Source organism: Homo sapiens, chromosome 13 (genome assembly GCF_000001405.40).
Source record: "Homo sapiens chromosome 13, GRCh38.p14 Primary Assembly".
In the NCBI taxonomy this organism is placed as follows: domain Eukaryota; kingdom Metazoa; phylum Chordata; class Mammalia; order Primates; family Hominidae; genus Homo; species Homo sapiens.
Window position 1 is genome coordinate 19552569 of NC_000013.11, and position 22153 is coordinate 19574721.

Below are 22153 nucleotides of genomic sequence, written 5' to 3' on the forward strand. Positions count from 1 at the left end.
ACCTGCTTCATTGTTAACTGGGAACTCCCACAGTTTCCCCTCTTTTGTCCACAGGATCAGCTCTTCAAAGCCATTCTGAAGGGGTTGTTCATTGACTGTGGCTAACTGCTTAGCAAATTCCACATCCCAAAGTGAAGGTGATGTGTCGTATAATAAAAACATTTTAAGTAAGAACAAGTCAATGTAAATATCTTTCTTTAAAAAGTTATAACCAATCCTGAATTGATCATGTATTTTTCAGACCTTGACACTCATAATTAAATAGTATATAATGAAAAGTTACTGAGAGATAACTGCAAAAATTATATTAAAAATTATAACTACAATAATGGCAAGCTTAACTTTTGTTTTACAACAATGCCAGGTAATCACTGCCCCCTCTACTGGAAAGAAAAAAATAAATTTTGTTTAAGGGTATTTTTATGAATGTGAATGTTTTTTGTACAATATGTGACTCTGGTTTTTAAAGTCTAGGCTGTTTATCTTTATTTTTAGTCTATCAAAATTAGTCACTAATGTACTACTGTTAACAACCAAAGAAGTTAAATTAACAGAATGATGATAAAACTGCCAATGAATACTGAGTACTTCCTCTGTGCTTAAATGCTTTTTATGCATTAGTGCATGTCATCCTCACAACCAACCCTATGAGTAACATATTATCATGTTGGCTAATTACCACCATCATATTACATGTTTCAATAACTTATTTACTTTTGAAACTTCAGATCATCTTTTGAGAATGAGCCATATTCCCACCAGTTACTGCTGCTGGGAAAGTAAAATGGTACAATCACCTTGGAAAACAGTTTGATGGCTTCTTAAAAAGTTAAAAATATATCTATTATTCAACATAGCCATTTGATTCCTGGATATTCACCCAAGAGATAATACATGTCCACACAAAGATTTGTACACAAAAGTTAATGGCAGCTTTCTTTGTAATAGCCAAATGTGGGTTGTAATCTGGGAAACAACCCAAATGTCCACTAACAGGTGAATAAGTACAAAAATGTGATACATTCATACAATGGTATACTACTCAGTAATAAAATGTGTTACTAGTACATGTAATAGCATGGATGAATCTCAAATCATTATGCTGAGTGAAAGAAGCCAGATGCAAAGGAGTACATACTGTGTGATTTCAGTTACGTACAATTCTAAAAGATGCAAGCTAATCTATTGTAGATCAATGGTTGCCTGCGTACTGTGTGTGTATGTGTGTATGTATTGCAAGGACACAAGGAAACTTTGGAGGGTCATGAAAAATGTTCAAAATTATAACTGGCAGTTTCATGGATGTATATATTTGTCAAAACTAGTCAAGTTATATACTTTAAATATGTGCAGTTTGTTGCACACAAATTATACCTTAATAAAGTTGTAAAAAGAAAATGAATAACAATATCTATCCCTTGGCTACCTTTTTCCCTATATTTTTATTCTTTAGTTATTTTTACCAACATTTTTGATCTTTCTTATTTTTTCTGTGTGATCTCACTTTTTAAAATAAATGAGGATGGGCCGGGCATGGTGGCTCACGCCTGTAATCCCAGGACTTTGGGAGGCTGAGGCGGGGGGATCACAAGGTGAGGAGATCGAGACCATCCTGGCTAACACGGTGAAAACCTGTCTCTACTAAAAATACAAAAAATTAGCCGGGCATGGTGGCAGGCGCCTGTAGTCCCAGCTACTCTGGAGGCTGAGGCAGGAGAATGGCATGAACCCAGGAGGCGGAGCTTGCAGTGAGCCAAGATCGTGCCACTGCACTCCAACCTAGGCGACAGAGCAAGATTCTGTCTCAAAAAATAAATAAATAAATAAATAAATATAAAAAATAAAATAAAATAAATGAGGATTGTATAGTTTGGTAATATACTTTTTTCACTGAATGCTTGCATCAGTATCCCATTTTATATATATATATGTATCACAATCCCCTACTGTTGAATATTTTGATCATTTATATTTTCTCTTTTAAATACTATCATGACAAATAAGCTTGTAGTTACACTTTTGTACATATCTGTAATATTTCCTTAGAACAAATTCCTAAGAACACAATTTCTGGGTTAGAGGCATAGATTGCATATGATCTATCCTTCAGCTTACCTCTTTACTCACTCTTGCCAAGCCCACTAAAGCATATCAACAAATAGCTCATTTACTCTTCTAACTGTGTAAGCCTTATTTTATCTATTTTGCTTTTCTGAATCTGTTCCTGAGCCTTTATGTGCAGAAATGTGTCTAACCACACACTGACTGCTAGATTTTAAGTATTTTGGCCTAGATCATCTGATACTGGGAAACAATCAGTTGTTAGCCTTAACTAGCCACATTTACAGAGCAATCACACCACTAAAATAACTTGTCTCAGTTATCTTTTACTTGGTGGTCACTGACTGACCTATGCCTTTTCCACCATCATTAGGATCATCACTATATTTTTACACTTGCTAATAGTTGCAAGCATTTATTAAATATGTACTATGTTCCAGGCACCTCAAGCATTTATTAAATATATACTATGTTCCAAGCACTATGCCTGACGCTCTCTCAGATTACCACATTTAATCCTTGACATGTATGTACTAGCCCTCATTTTATAGGTGGGGAAAGGTTAGTGTGGCAGAATCTGAATTTGAATCCAGTTCTACACAACACCAACACTCTTTCTGTTAAGCTATATTACCTGTCGACTCTAGGATAACCAGTAGGGCCTATGACTGTATCCTCTGTAGCAGTGGTAAGAACTTAGTATGGAACAAGACGTGGGAATCATGGAACAGAATAACTCATTCAATCGGTCAATTAAAAAAAATTACTGAATGCCAACTACATTTCCAGCATTATTTGATGTGGTGGGAAAACAACAGTGAACAATTGCTAAATTTACTTTTCCACATTTTGCTATTCTTGTACTTAATTGGGAGCAAAAACCATTCTTTAGACTCATGCAAGTGTAGCATATTCAAACAGTACCTTCATTAGAGTAAATTATTACATAAACTTGTGTGCTATTTTCCTCACTAGAGGAAATACTAGAGTATAATCATTTGATACTGTTTGATAGAATACATAAAACTTCAATGCTTCCTTGCCAACTAACTTCAGTTTTAGAAATAAGATTTTTTTATTTTAAAAAGTAAGCTGCCTCCTTCAAGAATCTCAAGAATCTTCAAGCATCTCTTTTGGCTGGACAACAGCAGCTGCCCTGACAACAACAAATTTCTTTTTTTTTTTTTTTTTTTTTTTTTTTTTGAGATGGAGTTTTGCTCGTTGCCATGCTGGAGTGTAATGGCGCAATTTTGGCTCACTGCAACCTCCGCCTCCTGGGTTCAAGTGATTCTCCTGCCTCAGCCTCCCGAGTAGCTGGGATTACAGGCGCCCACCACCATGCGCAGCCAATTTTTGTATTTTTAGTAGAGACAGGGTTTCACCATGTTGGCCAGGCTGGTCTTGAACTCCTGATCTCAGATGATCCACCCACCTCAGCCTCCCAAAGTGCTGAGATTATAGGCATGAGCCACTGCGCCCGGCCAACAAATTCCTTTCCGATGCACGCTTAACCATTTGAGCTGGGGAGAGGCGATTCATTGTCCCTATGCATTTTGCACTTCCTTTTTATCATACACAAGAAAATGCAGTTTTTGCAATACAAGAAGGGGGTTGTTCTTTCAGCTTCACCTTCAGTTCAAATGAACAAACACTGAATTAACTTCTTTCCTCTATAGGTGTATATTTTATAGTACAATTTGTTCAAAAAAAGAATTTAAGATTTAAGATAACTAGTTGCTATGATCTGTAAGCCACATGAGTAGGTGCTACATGAATGAGATATAGCCCCTAATGGTATATTAAATAGGGGGAAAATCAAAAGTTTGTATAAGTAACTGGTAGAAAGATTAAATGAGCCCTTGGAGGCCAGCCTAGGAACTTATCTATTATGTACAACATTCTCCCCCCCACCTTTGAGTTGGAATCTCACTCTGTTGCTTAGGATGGAGTGTTATGGCATAATCGTGGCTCACTGCAGCCTCAAATTCTGGGCTCCAGTGATCCTGCCACCTCAACCTCCCAAGTTGCTAGGATTACAGGCATATACCACCATGCCTGGATAATTTTTTTCTATTTTTTAGAGAAAGGGGCTCACTATGTTGCCCAGGCTGGTCTTGAACTCCTAGTCACAAGCCATCCTGTTGTCTCAGCCTCCCAAGTCCATATACAACATTATTTCTACAAGATCCAAAAAACTAACTTCTATTCTTTAGAAATGCTCATCACTTATACGCTGGAGACCATTTGTATTGAGTTTCTTCATTGATTTTACTAGTAAACCAAATTTAATGTCAAGCAAGAGGACACTCTTATTTCTGTTTTAGACTTAAAATGGCAAATTTCTTACCCAGAGAAAACACTACAAGTCCGTTAAATATATTCCTTGAATATTCTTCCCATCTCCTGAACAATCACTAAGTCACTTCAGTAAGTTTTTTTATAAATGCTATCTCCTCTTCTAGACAGTAAGCTGCCTAAGGGCAGGAACCAGTATATCTTTATGTAATAGCATAGAGGTACACTGTAAATGGTAGTTATTAATGTTCTAACCCAAATTAGTAGCTAATCTGAACCTCTGGATTCGGTAATTGGTAGTACTTACCTCCCACTGTCTCACAGAATGCAACATTTCATGGGGGAAACCTGACCAAAACTAGCAATATTGACAACTGTAGTGTGATGTGTCCCCTACCAGGTTACTTAAGAGTGTATGTGTGTTGCTTGGATCCTGAATGCTGGGCAGGGAGTCAAGGCCCTGGTGCCCAGCTGAGGAGCAGGGATCCCTGAGAACCCAAACATCCCAGGGCATACCTGAGAACATGTCAAAGAAAACACTGTCATCGTGCACACAGAGTAGGCAAACAGTCAGAACATTAGCTGAAAGGCAGCTTAGAGACGGGAGGCAGGGTGACTCTAGAGCTGCTTAGGAATGTCCAGTATGTAAGTCCTAGTAAACTCATCTATTCATCAAGCTGGACTTGCCCAAATTATTCTTTAGTCTCTCGACGCCTTCCCAGTTTGGGGGGATGTTACAGTCCCAAGTTTTCCTTATAATGACTACCACATTCCTAAGCAGGATCCAGGCCAATGACAGGATGGAATATTAAAATATTCAACTATTATACCATCAGAACACTAAGGAAGGACATCTTGGAAAGATGGAATGTTTCTCTACCTGAGAAATAGTTATTCTCTTTTTTTTCAAGTTTAATTTTTAATTTATTAGAACCCAGCAAATAATGATTTTAAAAGCAGAGTTTCCATCAAATTAATACTTAATTCAGGGCAAAAATACACTTAAAAAACCTAAATCTTAAGGCAGAAGTAAAACATTATAAAAACAGTATGTCTAATACAGACTGTAAAATGTCAGATTTTTAAGAGATTCACATAGTATTTTATAGCACTAAAATATTGATACAGTCAGAAATATTATCAATTGGTCCAAGATTTCTGTTTATAAAATGTCTAGACTGCTAATTGAAGAAGTGTTGCTATATAAGTAATAGCTACAATATAACCAACCAAGTGATTGTTTTTATGACAAAAGAACTAAGGCAAGTAATTGCATGGTTTCCATTTGCAAAGCTTTTGTAGTATTAAATAAAAAGTATTACTAGGGGTATTTTTTGATTCATCTCCCTACCCTAATGCCCCCAGAATGTACATCACTTCCCTTTAACTCTGTTTTTAAAATTCTGTGAACCACCATACCTATTCATTGTAGGCCTGACCCTATAAAGGCATGAATTGTTTACTTTGATATGGTGGAAACATAATTTTGGTAAACTACTACATCTTTTCCTAGTCATTGAGCAATTTCAAACAGAAGTCTTAAGAATTGTTGCACCTCGACAAGTGAACAACCTGTTTCTTTACCACTATTAAGTTTGAATTTTGACTAGAATCTGTTAGAGTTGTCGATATTGCTAGTTTTGGTCAGGTTTCTCCTGTGGAATGTTGCATTCTGTGAGACAGTGGGAAAACACATTTCATGTTTAGGTGCAATTAACAGTAGCCCTTCTGAAAAACAGGGTTAACAATCTTACATTTCCCCTTGTGATCAAAACCTTTTGTTTTTAGGGAGCAGGATAAGATTTAAAAGTGCTTTAAATCAGAAAACAAGAATTAGCTAGCTTACACATTCCACTGAATAGTGTCAAAAAAGATAAACGTATTTAAAATAAGTTGTAAGTCCAGCAAATATAAGCTTGATGGGTTAACTAACATATTAAGTAATTACAAAGATTCATTTTTTTACAAACTTTTAAACTATTTTAATAAAATGGCTATAGACCTCACTGTACTTCTATTTATCTGTGCATTAATAAAAACCTGTTAAAATTCCTTATTTAGTACTTCTGAAAAAGTCTAGTCAAATAAGATCACTAAAATTACCAGAAAAGCTTTGAAATACTGATTGCAGATTCATTTCAAAGTAGATTTAACACATTTCAGGATCTGGTGTTTAAATCATGAATGTCTTCACCAGCGTCAACTCTGAAAATATAAAAATTTTAGTCAGTGCTGGCTGTAACAGTACTGGCATTACTTGAAAAAATAGAAATAAAAAATACATTGTCAATCATGCATTCCACAATTTTCTTTTTGAGCTCGATAGTATATATATTTTTTCTCATTAAAGATTCAAAACCAAAAGTGGTTTCTCTTTGCAGCAAATATACATTAAAATAGAGTCTCTGTACAGCCAAGGGCTCTGGGCCCTGGCTTGCCCCATGTCTCTGCGCCTCCCTGGCCAAACCCAAAAATAAATATAGTGTTATTGTTCTGCAGGGCATAGAGGCAGTGCTCTCCTACCCCCGAGGAGGCTGGGTGGGAGCTGATGGGGAAGCCCTGGCCACCCCAGGGGTCCAGGGGCTGGAGCCTGCTTGGAGTTATTGCTTCAAGGCCGGGCACTAATGCCCAATGCAAATGATGAGAGGAGGAGCAAAGGGAGCATGGGCCTTTGCTCTCCAAGTCCCACTCTGCTCTGAAGAGGGGGTAGGATTAAGCAGCAGCAAAAGCATCACCCACTGGGAGACTGTGGCCTGCACCCCCTTCCCTCCCTGAGATAGGCTTCTGCCTCCCACACATCCCCTGCAGCCCCCTGTGGCTTCGGCAAGGCCCCCTACACTCTTGGGGCACGCTATGGCTTGCAAGGGGCAGCACTGTGCCCAGAGCCCGGACACACGTTTCCAGCTTCTGACATCCCCTAGGAGGGGGGAGGGGAGGGAGTGGGGCCTGCTCCCAGGGGCTGATGGCATTGCCCTGGCCCTGCCAGCAGGCTGTGGCACTGCCCAGACCCCAGCTCCGCCCCAGCCCTTGGGGCTGACCCCATGCTAGGCAGGTCCTGCCAGAACCCCCACCAGTCCCACCCCTCGCCTCAGTCCATCATGGCCTCGAGCATCTCCAAGAACAGCTTGTGCATGGGCACCTTGCCCTCCAGCTTCACCCCATAGAAATGGGCCAGCACTTTGCCCGCTGTCTGGTGGAGGAGCGGTAGCGTGAACAGCAGCCTGCCTGGCCGCCGCCGCTCAGCACCCCCTCCGGTGCCAGCTCGGCCGGCTTCATACTCCAGCAGGGCCTCGTGCGGAGCTTCTGGCAGCTGCTCCACAGCCTCGGCATCTTCGATGGGCACAGAGTCTGAATTGGCAAGGGCCAGGGCCTTCAGTAGAACGTACTCCCCTCGCTCCAGCCGCAGGGACTGCAGCCGCCGCACCAGTTGCAGCAGGGCAGCCCCCAGTTCCCCCAGGCCAGCTGCCCGTGCCCCCTCTTCATCCAGGACTAAGTCCTCAGCGAAGGCCAACTCATCCTGCAGTGGCAGTGAGCGCTGGGCCACACCCGGCACCAGCACCTCCATTCATACTCTCTGCAGTACTGACATCTGGTCAGACAGCGACAGCGATGAGAAGCCTGGGATGCTCTTGGCCCAGCTGATGGTGACCACGATCTCTCGGTCAAAGAGGTCACAGAGGGTAGCCACGGCTGGAAGGTGCCCATCAGGGCCAGCAGGGTCGGGCAAGGCATAGAGCTTCTCAGGCTCAACCACCATTAGATGAGACACCAGTGCATTCACTGGGCCTGTCGTCTGGGGGCCTCCAGCGACTGCCAGGGGCCCAGCAGGGAAGGCGCCCGGGAAGGGCAGCGGGTCCACCTCTGGCACCGCTTGTACTCCCGCCCACCCCGGACGCGGTCCAGGCGCGCTCCCGCAGGCTCTTGGTGAAGCGGCAGGCCTGACAGGCCTTGCGTCTCCGCTTGGTGATCTCACACTCGTTGGAGGCCAGACAGCTGTACTCCATACTCCCCTGGATGGTCCTCTTGAAGAAGGCTTTGCAGTCCTCACAGGATGACACACCGCAGTGGTAGCCGGAGGCCACGTCCCCACAGACCAGGCAGAGGCGCTTGGACAGGGAGCTGAGCACCAGCTTCCCACCGCCCTGCTCGCCAGGCCCAGCCCCCTCCCCATCCTCCTCTTCCTTGTGGCCTGGGAGGCAGTGGGTGGGAGCTGGACCAGGGGCCAGGGCCACAGGAGGCTCGGGTCTCTGTCTCCGAGGAGCCCTTTGGACTGTCAGGCCTGGCCGGCTCTGCCATGATGTAGTGGCTCACTGCCCACCACCTGGCTGGACATGGCGCTGGTCACCTGACACGCGGCTGCCCTCCTGCCCCAGCATGCCGATCCCAGGCACACGGCGGGGGCCGCTCCACCTCCTCGCGACCGGCCTGCAGGTCCACTCTAATATTCCCGCTGTCGCAGACGCCGCCACCTCCCGGGGCGCCGCGCCCCGCCCCCCAACCTAAGCACACCTTTGGGAAGTTGCCTAAAGTTGCTACGCCTCCCCGCAAGCCCCGACGCCCGCGGGAGACCGCTACCAGGTTATCAGGAAGTAAGTGGGGAGAGCCAAGGAAGAGGAAGTTCTTCCCGGCCGTTGCGATGACCTTTGACCCAGAGAGGAGGGTGGCCCCAGGCCCCTTCGAGCGCCCCCACGTGGTCTTCAGAGCCCCTTTCCCGACATAGAGACTTCCCCGTCTTCCACCCCGGCCAGCCCCAGGGACTTCGGCAAGCGAGGGATTGAACCCTGCCCCGGGGCGGGCTGGATCGGAGGCCCAACCCTGACCCGGGCCAGGACCCGCAGCCAGAGCCAGATCTTGCCCCAGGCCGGCCCACCAGAACTCGGACGCCAGATCCCGCCTGAACCCTGACCAGTCCGGACCTCGACTGGGCCCCGACCGTGGCCCAGACTGGCCCCAGAGCCGGCCCCCGCCTGGAGCCCGCCCTGCCCTCCTCCCTGCTGCCTCATCACACAATTTCAAGAACTAAGTGGCCGGAAGCGGTGGCTCACGCCGGTAATCCCAGCAGGCCAAGGTGGGCGGATCACGAGGTCATGAGATCGAGACCATCCTGGCTAACACGGTGAAACCCCGTCTCTACTAAAAATACAAAAAAACAAAAATTAGCTGGGCGTGGTGGCGGGCGCCTGTAGTCCCAGCTACTCGGATGCTGAGGCAGGAGAATGGCATGAACCCGGAAGGCAGAGCTTGCAGTGAGCCAAGATCCCGCCACTGCACTCCAGCCTGGGCAACAGAGCAAGACTCCGTCTCAAAAAAAAAAAAAAAAAGAAAAGAAAAGAAAAAAGAAAACAAAACAAAACAAAAAACTAAGATATGTAACTATAAATATTGTTATGTCTTTGCAGGTTATCTCAACTTCCATCAGGCCTCAGCTGAAAGCTCATCTGCCAAAACGCATCAGCACTCATGTAAAATAAAAGGAGTAGGGAGGTGACTTTGTACACATACTGTCCAGTGTTTGGCTGCCAGTTTCCCTCTTGTGTGTAACTATTCTAGGTATGACTCCTTGAGCATGAAATGAGGGGTAGATAGAACAGCACAGCTGTTGGGCTAACAAGAATTGGTGTGTAGACTGGGCACAGTGGCTCACCAGTGTAGTCCCAGCACTTTGGGAGGCCAGGGCAGGAGGATCACCTGAGGTCAGGAGTTCAAGACCAGCCTGGCCAACATGGTGAAACCCTGTCTCTATTAAATATACAATTATTAGCTCTCTATTAAAAATACAAAAATTAGGCTGGGTGTGGTGGCTCACGCCTGTAATCCCAGCACTTTGGGAGGCCGAGGCAGGTGGATCACGAGGTCAGGAGTTCAAGGCCAGCCTGGCCAAGATGCTGAAACCCTGTCTCTACTAAAAATACAAAAAAACTAGCCGGGCGTGGTGGCAGGCGCCTGTAATCCCAGCCACTCGGAAGGCTGAGGCAGAGAACTGCTTGAACCCAGGAGGCGGAGCTTGCAGTGGGCCGAGATGGCGCCACTGCACTCCAGCCTGGGGGACAGAGCGAGACTCGTCTAAAAAAAATACAAAAATAAAAATACAAAAATTAGCTGGGCGTGGTGGCGGGTACCTGTAATCCCAGCTACTTGGGAGGCTGAGGCAGGAGAATCACCTGAACCCAGGAGGCAGAGGTTACAGTGAGCCAAGATTGTGCCATTGCACTCCAGCCTGGGCAACAAGACTAAAACTCTGTCTCAAAAAAAAAAAAAGAATCAGTGTATAAAAAGTTTTCTGCTGAATATCTGTTCTGTTCTTACTATGGTTATGCTGTGCAACATATAACCTGTACAACCATTTTTTCTTGTTTATCTATTTGTGGAAATAAGTCAGTTCAATAAAATGTGAAATACACATTAGTTTGCTTTACATGCAAAGATTACCTGTTTTTGGCTTAACTGTATCATAACCAAAAAAGTCTATGCCTTGATAATACAATATGAAAAAGTTCACATATGTACATGGGTACATTCCTTCATTAAAGTTTTTCCTTAATTCTATCTCAATGTATTTTTACAACTGATACAACTCATCTTTACAACAAAAGTCAGAAAGGACAAAATAGAAAATGATTTCATTTTACAGCACTTTAGGTTTTCTGAAGTGTTCCTTTAGGACTTAAAGGACATCATTGAAATGTTGCTTTCCATAGTCTGCAGGATCCATTTGAAGCTCTCGTACTTCATCATCTTGGACGTCTTCCGCTCCACCATCACCATCTTCTTCCCAATTGCAAGCTAGCTCAGCCTGCTTGTCTGCCTCATACTCACCTACGTTACCATCATCCCCATTATAATCCGCCAGTTTAGAGCCATGCTGCAGATCAAGAGGAGATTCATTCTCATCAAAGAAGTGGCCTTACTTCAATTTATGGAACTCACTGATTCTATCCTTGGTAGCCTGCTTTAGTATATCTGTTTGAATTCTAGGTTCACTGTCCAAGTTTGAGCTTGGAATTAAACACTGAAGAGGACTGGAAGGCTTCTGTTTTGAAGTACCAGGGTTTCCATTGTGGTTTACCTGTGAATCTGGAGGCATATTTGGGGAGAGAGGTTGTCCAGTTGGAAGATGGGAGATTGCCTGATGACTTTCATGTTGAAAAACTGAAATAGGAGGCTTCTTTAAAGCAGGGGGAAGATCATCGACTTTTGCTAGGTCATTCTTTTTTATTCCAGGCATCCCTGCATCACCACCTCTTTTGATTTGTTCTTTCCCATGTAGAATATGATTGCTTGAGGGTTCTTCATTCTTATCTGCAACATTCTCAGCTACTTTTGGAATATTTTTAGGTACTACTTGATCGTTTATACCCAGTTCTTTTCCGTCATTTGATTGAATCTTGAGGGCCTCTTCCTTTTGTTCCTGTAAAAACTGGTCTACTAACTTTTTAATGTTTTCTTCATGCTGTGCTCTCAATTCCTTGATCTGCTGTCCACACTGAAAACTTTGATATTCTAACCTCTTCACAAGGTAAGTATTGTTCTTCCTATAGTCCTGAAGCTGGTCTTCTTGTCGAAGAAACTCCTGACGAAGCCCTCGGCAAGGTGCTCCTTTAAATGATGTATGTCTGCCATCTGATATGATATGTCGTTCTGTAGTTTAACTTTGTCATCCTCGCATCTCTTCCCCAGGCCCTGTCTGACCTGCAGCCGGCTGTTGAGGCGGCCCTAGTCGGCCTCCTTCTGGTGATCTGTTTCTTGTGCGTGTCCACCAACAGCAAGAGGTCCGAATTGCCCTTTTCCAGCCGCTCGCGGGCCACTTCGGTGCGCCGGACCTGGCCCTGCAGCTCGGCCACCTCCTCCTGAAGCAGGACGTGGCAAGAAGAGATGCTCCAGCAGTTGAAGGTGAGGACGACGGTCACTACCAGCAGCACCACCAGCACAAGAGAAGGCAGGCGGCGAGCCGGCCGGTTGGCCCCGAAACCCACCATGAGGCCAAATCGGGCTGTACCCTAGAGGCCTCGCCGCAGACACCTGCAGGCAGAAGCCCAGGCCTCGGCTGGAGTTCCCCGGGGGACACGGCCCCAGGGCCGGCAGAGGGAGCAGGCGGGCTTATCGGTCTGCGGCGAGCCGGAGAAGGGGGCGGGGCAGCAAGCCGCAGGTCCCTCCCCGCTCCGCTCCCCAACTCAGGCCAAAACGCGTTCCGGAGGCTTTGAACCCCTCGACCGTGCACCTGCCCAAGGGAACAGGGAGAACCCAGCTGCCCGCGCCCCGAACCCAACACCTCCAATAGTGTTCTTTTTTTTTTTTTTTTTTTTGAGACGGAGTCTCGCTCTGTCGCCCAGGCTGGAGTGCAGTGGCGCTATCTCGGCTCACTGCAAGCTCCGCCTCCCGGGTTCACGCCATTCTCCTGCCTCAGCCTCCCGAGTAGCTGGGACTATAGGCGCCCGCTACCACGCCCGGCTAATTTTTTGTATTTTTAGTAGAGACGGGGTTTCACCGTGTTAGCCAGGATGGTCTCGATCTCCTGACCTCGTGATCCGCCCGCCTCGGCCTCCCAAAGTGCTGAGATTACAGGCGTGAGCCACCGCGCCCGGCCAATAGTGTTATTCTTAACAAACCTGTTTCAGGTGTGTCTTTAGTAACTGACGTCAGGTCAAAAATATTAAGTCTTTTCCCCGTGAATATATTTTTCCTAAGTCTAAAAAAAAGAAAATAACATTTTAATGAATATATTTTAAACTGTCAACAAAAATTATGAGAAAGTATCTTAAGTGAAATATTCTATGTAGAAATTAAAAATAATTCCACTGACCCACATCAAAAATCTTAGCTAAATTGACACATTTTTAGGACCAATAAACTAAAAACAGAAATGTGCACTTGAAGTTTTGCTTCATATACAACAAATTAGTTAAAGCAATTTAATTTCCAAAATACCTAATTGAAAAGATTAGCTTAATTTGCCATAATTTTTATTTTTTCCCATTTATATTAAGGTTTTAAAAACTCCATGTTGTGAAAAACTATAAAACTATGCTAAAATAGAAGCTGTTAAAGTCAACATTTGTCTTTAAGGGCAGAAAACACTGCAATGTTTAATTATAAATCATAATTATAAAAAATTGCATAGGCAAATCACAACATTCCCTTTCATAAAGCAATCATTCTGTAATTTTAAAATAATTATTAACCTTCTTTACATGACTATTTTAAATTAGCTATTGAAATTAATATCAGAGAGTTAATAGGTGACATTTTCTTGCACATTTGATAATCAACTGCTTTATGCATCAATTCATATATTTACTTGAATAAATCTAGTGGCAGGTTAAAATCCAGTTTATATACTGGAGGGTTGGCCAGGCAAGGTGGCTCATGCCTGTAATCCCAGCATTTGGGAGGCCGAGGTGGGTGGATCACCTGAAGTCAGGAGTTCGAGACCAGCCTGGCCAACATGGTAAAACCCCATCTCTACCAAAAATACAAAAAAATTAGCCGGATGTGATGGCAGGTGCCTGTAATTCCAGCTGCTCAGGAGGCTGAGGCAAGAGAATCCCTTGAACCCAGGAGGCAGAGGTTGCAGTGAGCTGAGATTGTGCCACTGCACTCCAGGCTGGGCAATAAGAGAGAGACCCCATCTCAAAAAATAAAAATAAAAAATAAAGTCGGGGGTTAGTTTTAAAAATAATTTTGAGGCTGGGCGTGGTGGCTCATGCCTGTAATCCCAGCACTTTGGGAGGCCAAGGAGGGCAGATCACAAGGTCAGGAGTTCAAGACCAGCCTGGCCAGCATGGTGAAATCCTGTCTCTACTAAAAACACACAAAAAAATTAGCTGGGCATGGTGGCGCATGCCTGTAATCCTAGCTACTTGGGAGGCTGAGTCCCAGCTACTTGGGAGGCTAAGGCAGGAGAATCGCTTGACCCCAGGAGGTGGAGTTTGCAGTGAGCCGAGATCATGCCACTGCACTCCAGCCTGGGCGACAGAGCAAGACTCTGTCTGAAAAAAAAAAAAATGAATTATTGTTTTTTTTTATAAACTAAATTACTTCTCTCTACTGAACAGAAATAACTGGAAAAAATGCAAATACCATATGAACGTTAAATAACGTGATCTCAAACATATAATCTTTCCTCTAGCAGGTTCCCAAGTTATTTATAAACAAAGGCTTTTATGCTCCAGAACTCTCTTCACTGCCTTGCCTTCTTCTCCCTCAACTGCACGTCTGGCAAATAGGATGGTGGATTAAAGCAAGTCACAGCAGAGGGCAAATGTCTTGGTAAAGTATTGAATTTCAAAAGAGTAATGTACTATAAAGAAAGGGAATGGACATTGGCTGAGCACCTACTGTGTACCAGATCTATTCCTCAAGAAAGCCATTTAAGCTGGGTTTCACTTTCAGCATTTTATAGCTGGGGAAACAGGTTGATGGAGGCTACAAAAGGTGCCCAGTCACAGAACAGTCAGTGGCAATGCCAACATTCTGAGGCAGGCCAGTGTGAACTGTCAATCTCCAACAGAAGGAATCAGTCCAGGCCTGGGTTGTCTGGGGTTAACACCCCAGATCCTACCCCAGTCACAGCAGGGTGAACAACTTGGTGTCTCATCATTGCTTCCCCTTACTCCCTGGCTTTTTAACACATTGGAGGCAAAGAAACCCCTTTCCTATTTTAGCTTCTAATTTTAAAAATATTAAATATCAAATATAATATTAAAAATCAAATTATAATATACCATCCTAATGTAGTTGCACAGAATCATGTCCAAGATGAATGATTCAGTTAAATATTCTCGAGAATTAACCGACTCAGTTAAATATTATTAAGTAAAACTCCAAGTAGACCTCTCCTGTATTCAATAGTATGTAACAGACACTAAATCACTTTAGTAATTCAAATAATCTTCCAAAGTCACCATAACCTCTTGAACTTCCTGTGTTAACTGCTGACCACCTTTTCCAACTTTCCTGTATAAATCAGTAATTTAACACCTGGAAGGAGTTAACTCAAGTTTCTGATTTCACTTAAATCCACAGAATACATAATGCATTGAAAACACTCCAATTGTGAGCATATCCTGCTGTAAAGACAAGTTAATGTTTGCAGACCATGCCAAATATCTGGTTCCTCCTTCCCAGCTATCACTTTCAGGGTTTAAAGGTGAGAAAGAACAGAAACTTTATGCAAATACAGAACAACTTTAGATTCTAAAATAACTATGTAAGGCATGGCTCAGCATCTTTAAGAACTTCAAATCAGTAAATTCAAATGGCCACAAATAATCTACCACTTTAAGGTACTATATAAACTTTTTTCCTCTTGCCTTTCCTTCTTTTCATTGATGGTGGGTTATTTCTCTAAGGTACACCAAAAGATAAGCACGTATTGAGATATAAAGGGGATATGAATACACAGTATTAGTCACTTATATTCAAAATGAAAAATAATGTTTCTCACAAAATACTTATTTGTTCAGAATTCAGTCAGCTCTTCTTATTCTAAATCAAAAGACCACTATTCATCATGGGTAGATGTGAAGCATGGCCCACTTTGATTTCAGGTATGGAAAACTGCAGGACTGGCTAAATCCAGCACATGGTTCCCTCTCTAGGAAGTGGTATACAGAGAGTAAGAACACAGATGTAAATGCATTCATAATGCTCAGATATCCAACAGCAATAATACACACACGCAATAAGGTAAAAGTCTACAGTTAAGGTAAAAACAAACTACACAAACAAAACCCAGAAGATTACAAAGCCTGATACCTTTTTGTAAGATCAGCAGTCTTCTCCTGGCCAGGATAATTGTCATAGCCCTTGTCAAACTGAATCTGATGCTCTGGTCTTGAACAAACTCTAGCTGTAGCAGATCTGGCAACATTCATATCTGATATTACGTTACTGAAACTGAAATAATAAAAAGGTCAAGTGTATTAGAAATCTTAGCTACAGAACAGTAAAAACTTTCTTCAACAGGAGACTGATATCATTTAATTCTTATTTCATTTTTGTGTACTAATTATACAGCATAAAAATGTTTAAATAAAAAGTCACCTATTAACACTCACATAACACAGAACATTACAATTAATGTTTACTTTCATCTTTTAAAGATGTTCTTCAGAAATCTTCATTTAAATCATTAAGTGTCTCATGAAAAATTATTCAGAGAAAATGATAGGAAAGTAAAATCAGTATCTGTATACCTATCACCTACATTTGATAACTAAATTAAAACCAAGAGTTAGCCATATTTATTTGCTGCTTTGTATTTGTTCAAACACAAATAAAATGAGTCACTGAACTGACAGTCCAGATATCTATGTCTTCCTTTTTTAAAAAACTACTATTTCTTTTAGAGATAGGGTCTCACTCTATTGCCCAGGCTGGAGTGCAGTGGTGAGATCACAGCTAAATGCAGCTTCAAACCCTGGACTTAAGTGATCCTCCTGCCTCAGCCTCCAAAGTAGCTAGAACTACAGGCACAAGCCACTGTGCCCAGCTAATTTTTTTATGTTTTGTAGAGATGGGGTCTTGCTTTGTTGCTCAGGCTGGTCTCAAATTCGTGGCCTCAAGTGATCCTCTTGCCTCAGCCTCCCAAAGTGCTGGGATCATGGGCATGAGCCAGCGCATATGGCCATTTCTTTTCACTTCTTGAAATAAATCTGGTACACATGCTCATTGAGAACAACTGATTTAGATCACTCTACAAAATAAAGCAGTGTTACCACTTACTATAAAGTAGGCAGCAAGTAGTATAACATGGCATAAAATAATGAGAGACGAAGAGAATAAGTGGAAAGATGTCAGCTGATACATAACAATAGGAGGAAAAAGAGAAGGAAACAGACCTGAAGATTATCATACTGTGCATAAAACCAACAAGCTACTTAACTGAAAAAAATTACTTTTCTCAGAGAAGTTACCTTATTCTGTTATTTATTTTTAATAACATTACTGAATTTACCATTTCTATTTTCATGGACAAGAAACTGTAACTTCCTAAAAGGAAACTTTATTCAATTGGTTTCTTAATAACTATAGTCATACTTATGTCTTAAGTTTTAAAAAAAAATTGAATTGCTAAAATTATGCCATACATGCTATATACAAATTCCACTTATGTGGTATATACTATGTGTATTACCCACTAGCCACATGAAAATGGCCCATTTTGAGATATAAACATTACTGACTTAAAGGTTTGATTCACTCACCTAATTTTAGTTCTCTCTGCATCTCTCTGTGCCCTTGACTCTTCCTCATGCTGCTGGAGCTGCCTCAACAGCTCTGACTTGGTTATTTGCTTGTCAAAAGGGAGAGAATCTGCCACAGCAGATGCAGCTGCCACCAACTCAGGACTTAGGGACTCAATTCTGAAAAATAAAATGGAAAACAAATGAGAAATAAAAAAGAGAGATTGGCCAGGTGCAGTGGCTCACACCTGTAATCCCAACACTTTGGGAAGCTGAGGCAGGTGGGATCCCTTGAGGTCAGGAGTTTGAGACCAGCGTGGCCAACATGGTGAAACCTCGTTTCTACTAAAAATACAAAAATTAGCCAGGTGTGGTAGTGTGCACCTGTAGTGACAGCTACTCACTCGGGAGGCTGAGGCAAGAGAATTGCTTGAACCCAGGAGGTGGAAGTTGCAGTGAACCAAGATCATGCCACTGCACTCTAGCCTGGGAGACAGAGCGAGACTCCGTCTCAAAAAAAAAAAAAGAGAGATTGCTTATTATGCCATTAGTTCATTAGTTTAGTGAAAGGTAAAATGATTTTTGGGGGAAAACTTTGGTGTTCAAAAAAGTATTCAATTCAATTTCTGGCAAAAGCAAGAATTCTCAACTATTAGGTACCAGTTTTATATAAACTTTGAAATAAACTTTGAAATGTTAAATGTTAAAATTAATGGATATTTGCTGAAGTACAACACTAACTCAGAACAATATATTAAGGTGGAGGGGTGAGGGACAGATCAGCCTCAAAAATTATAAATTAGTGGAATTTTTAATTAAATGCTATTGTATTTCAAAAGCAGTATATATTGCAAGCAAATATTAAGGCAGGTTAACCAGTTCACAGAAGCTTTACTGCAACCAACCTAAAGGTCTATCACTAGAATAGAAAAACAAATTGTGATATATCCATACAATGGAAGAGTACTCAGCTCATGCCAACATAAATGACTTTCATAAACATTAGATCAATTGAAAGAAGCTGGACACAAAGAATATAAAATACAAAAATTAGCTGGGCGTGGTGGCACATGCTTGTAATCCCAGCTACTCCGGAGACATGAGAATCGCTTGAACCTAGGAGACGGAGGTTGCAGCGAGCGGAGACTGTACCAATGCACTCCAGCCTGGGCGACAGAGCTAGACTCTCTCTTAAAAATAAATAAATAAGTAAAATTCTGTATGATTCCTTTTATATCAAGTTCCAGAATAGGCAACACTAATCTGAGGTGAAAAAGAAAAAAAATCAAAACAGCAATTGCCTCAGGACAGATGGCTATTGACTGGGAAGGTGAAAATGAAAAACATAGTGTCTTGGTGAGTGTGTGGGTCACCGGGGCTTACTGTTTGTCAAAATCCTACAGCTGAGATTTGTACACTTTAATATATGTAAATTTTACCTGAAAAAAAAGAGCCATAAATCATTATCAAGCAGGAGATAGAAACTGGGTGAAGGCATAGATGATACAAGAATGGCAAAATGTTGATCACTGTTGAATCTGGGCAATGGTAGAAAGAGGTTATACCATTTTGTGTTCTTTGCATATGTTTCAAATTTTTCATAAGAAAAAGCTTTTAGCTGGGCGTGGTGGCTCACACCTGTAATCCCAGCACTTTGGGAGGCCAAGGTGGGTGGATCACTTGAGGTCAGGAGTTCGAGACCATCCTGGCTAACACAGTGTAACACCATCTCTACTAAAAAAAAAAATACCAAAAAAATTAGCCAGGTGTGGTGGCACATGCCTGTAGTCCCAGCTACCTGGGAGGCTGAGGCAGGAGAATCACGTGAACCCAGGAGGCTGAGCTTGCAGTGAGATGAGATCGCACCACTGCACTCCAGCCTGGGCGACAGAGCGAGACTCCATCTCAAAAAAAAAAAAAGAAGAAGAATCTCTGCATTAAGTCCTAAATATGATATACCCATCAGGTACCCGTAGTTCTCCCAGGCCAGATGCAATCTATCAATTAGGGGTCAATTTTGTCATGAAAATGTTGTCTACAATATAGCTGACATTCTACAGTTATCAGGTACCAGATGTATAATCAAAGTAGCTTATACTTTCAGAAAATAGTGACAGCATTACTTCTGGTCCCACATGGCTCTTCCAAAACATTGCCACATATCCATCAAGAGAGACTCTATCTTCCCTCCCTGAAAACCAGGGGAAACTTTGTGACTGCCAGATAGAAGTAACACACTGTGACTTCTGAGGTTAGATCAAATAATGTGATACAGCTTTCAGTTTGATCCCTCAAGACATTTGTCTTTGGAACCCAGCTACCAGGCAAGAAGCCCAGGCCACATCGAAAGGCCATGGGTTAGTGTATTGGCCAAGAGCCCGAGCTAAAGCCTCAGCCAACAGCCAGTATCAACCACTGGAAAAGTGCCTTCAGACGATTCCAGATCCCAGCCTTGAATCTACCTTAGCTAAAGATGAGCAGAGAAGACATAAGCTCTCCACTTGGGACCCTGCTTCCCAAACTGTGCCCTAAGGCACTCTGGGGCACCACAGGAAAATACAACCGCATCTGTCAATAATGATGTAAACTAAGCAGTTCACAGTAACATTGCAGCAGTCCATATCTGCAGGGATTGGGGGATGTGGGGCCATGGGACACAGGCATTATTTCCAAGAACAGCTGTGGCCACCCCCAGGATGGATGCACAAGCCCCTTATATAAAAAGGCAGAGTACCTGCATATAAGTAATACACATCCTCCCGAATACTTTTAAATCATCTCTAGATTACTTATAATACCTAATTATGTAAGTAGTTGTTATACTGTATATTTTTTATGTTTTCAATCAGATTTTGGTTGAATCTGTGGATGCAGAACCTGCGCATACAGAGGGCCACCTGTATATTGCCCCATTCCTATCAATAACATTATATCTTTGTTAAGATGGTTTCTCAGGAGTGGTTGTGATAAAAACAAATATCCCAGGAAAATCAATGTGGAACAGGGATGAACACGGTAATGTCCAATCTTATTACAAGGCTAGGTCATTAAAAAGAAAATACAGCTTTCTCTTGGCTCACTTTCTCTTGAAACACCCGCTCCGGAACCCAGCGACCATGTAGTGAGAAAGCCCAGGCCACGAGGAAAGCCACATGTAGGTGTTTCTGCTAACCACCCCAGCTAAGGTCTCAGCTGACAGCCAGCAAAAACTGCCAGACCTATGAGTGAGAAAACTTCAAACGATTCCAGCCTCAGACTTCCATGCCTTCCAACTGAGGCCCCAGACATCACAGAGCACAGACTGGCCTTCCCCACTGTGTTCTAGCCAAATTGCTAACCCACAGAATCTGTGAGCATAATGAATGAATGTTTTATGCCACTATGTTTGGGAGGTAGTGTAGCTATGGTAACCATATCAATGAAGGTTCAATATATAATACAAAGAAAAAAAGCAGGCTATGTGTGAAGCAATGATGACAGTGCCTTATGAAGCAAAGATCATGACTAACCTAATCCCGTGCACCTTAGAGTCCTTGAAAAAGGGGGAGGGGAGGCAAAAATCATTAAAAGACACATTTTTAAACCTCAACACAGGCCGGGTGCGGTGGCTCACGCCTGTAATCCCAGCACTTTGGGAGGCCGAGGCGGGGAGATCACGAGGTCAGGAGATCGAGACCGTCTTGGCTAACACGGTGAAACCCCGTCTCTACTAAAAATACAAAAAATTAGCCAGGTGTGGTGATGCACGCCTGTAGTCTCAGCTACTCGGGAGGCTGAGGCAGGAGAATCGCTTAAACCCTGGAGGCGGAGGTTGCAGTGAGCCGCGATCGCACCACTGCACTCCAGCCTAGGCGAAAGAGCGAGACTCTGTCTCAAACAAACAAACAAACAAAAACCTGCTGCCCTGTGAATTAGCATTTCCTTTCAGTCTTTATTACTGATGTAGAATCAAAATGAGACCTAGGTTTCATTTTTCAAAAATGGCCTTATGGCCGGGCACGGTGGCTCACGCCTATAAGTAATCCCAACACTTTGGGAGGCAGAGGCAGGTGGATCACTGGAGGTCAGGAGTTTGAGACCAGCCTGGCCAACATGGTGAAACCCCGTCTCTACTAAAAAAACACACAAGAAAAATTAGCCGGGCGTGCTGGCTGATGCCTGTAATCCCAGCTGCTCAGGAGGCTGAGGCAGAAGAATCAATTGAACTCAGGAGGTGGGGGCTGCAGTGAGCCGAGATTGTGCCACTGCACTTCAGCCTGGGCGACAGAGTGAGACTCTTATCAGAGTGAGACTCAAGAAAAAAAAACACATAAGAATTTAGGCCGGTGCGCGGTGGCTCACGCCTGTAATCCCAGCACTTTGGGAAGCCGAAGTGGGAAGATCACTTGAGGCCAGGGGTTCGAGACCAGCCTGGCCAAAATGGTGAAACCCCGACTCTACTAAAAATGCAAAAATTAGCCTGGCGTGGTGGCGAGTGCCTGTAATCCCAGCTACTCGAGGGGCTGAGACAGGAGAATCGCTTGAACCCGGGAGGCGGAGGCTGCAGTGAGCTGAGATCTCACCATTGCGCTCCAGCCTGGGCAACAGAGTGAGACCTGGTCTCAAAAAAAAAA

At 43.1% G+C, this 22153-nt stretch overlaps 1 protein-coding gene, 1 long non-coding RNA gene and 3 pseudogenes across 3 annotated transcripts in view; 1 reads left to right on the forward strand and 4 right to left on the reverse strand.

The window, feature by feature from the left end:
- TPTE2 (transmembrane phosphoinositide 3-phosphatase and tensin homolog 2) overlaps positions 1-9006 on the reverse strand; it is a 138698-nt gene extending 129692 nt beyond the window's left edge. Inside the window, exons 1-3 of one of the 2 annotated variants that reach the window (NR_073485.2) lie at positions 8932-9006; positions 6460-6561; positions 3-105 (exon numbers count right to left, since the gene is read on the reverse strand). The gene's annotated coding sequence lies outside the window, so the exon portion shown is untranslated. Of the gene's footprint in view, positions 1-2; positions 106-6459; positions 6562-8865 lie in introns of both variants that reach the window. The other variant, NM_001395978.1, reaches the window with a different exon arrangement.
- MRPS31P2 (mitochondrial ribosomal protein S31 pseudogene 2) lies at positions 1-16253 on the reverse strand (annotated as a pseudogene).
- GOLM2P1 (GOLM2 pseudogene 1) lies at positions 5264-12628 on the reverse strand (annotated as a pseudogene).
- On the reverse strand, positions 6849-8930 carry ESRRAP1 (estrogen-related receptor alpha pseudogene 1; annotated as a pseudogene).
- The window catches only part of TPTE2-AS1 (TPTE2 antisense RNA 1), a 27157-nt gene continuing 13774 nt past the window's right edge, over positions 8771-22153 (forward strand). The window contains exons 1-4 of the long non-coding RNA NR_172899.1: positions 8771-8945; positions 9756-9906; positions 12034-12246; positions 14483-14622. This is a non-coding gene — a long non-coding RNA (TPTE2 antisense RNA 1). The remainder of the gene's footprint in view (positions 8946-9755; positions 9907-12033; positions 12247-14482; positions 14623-22153) is intronic.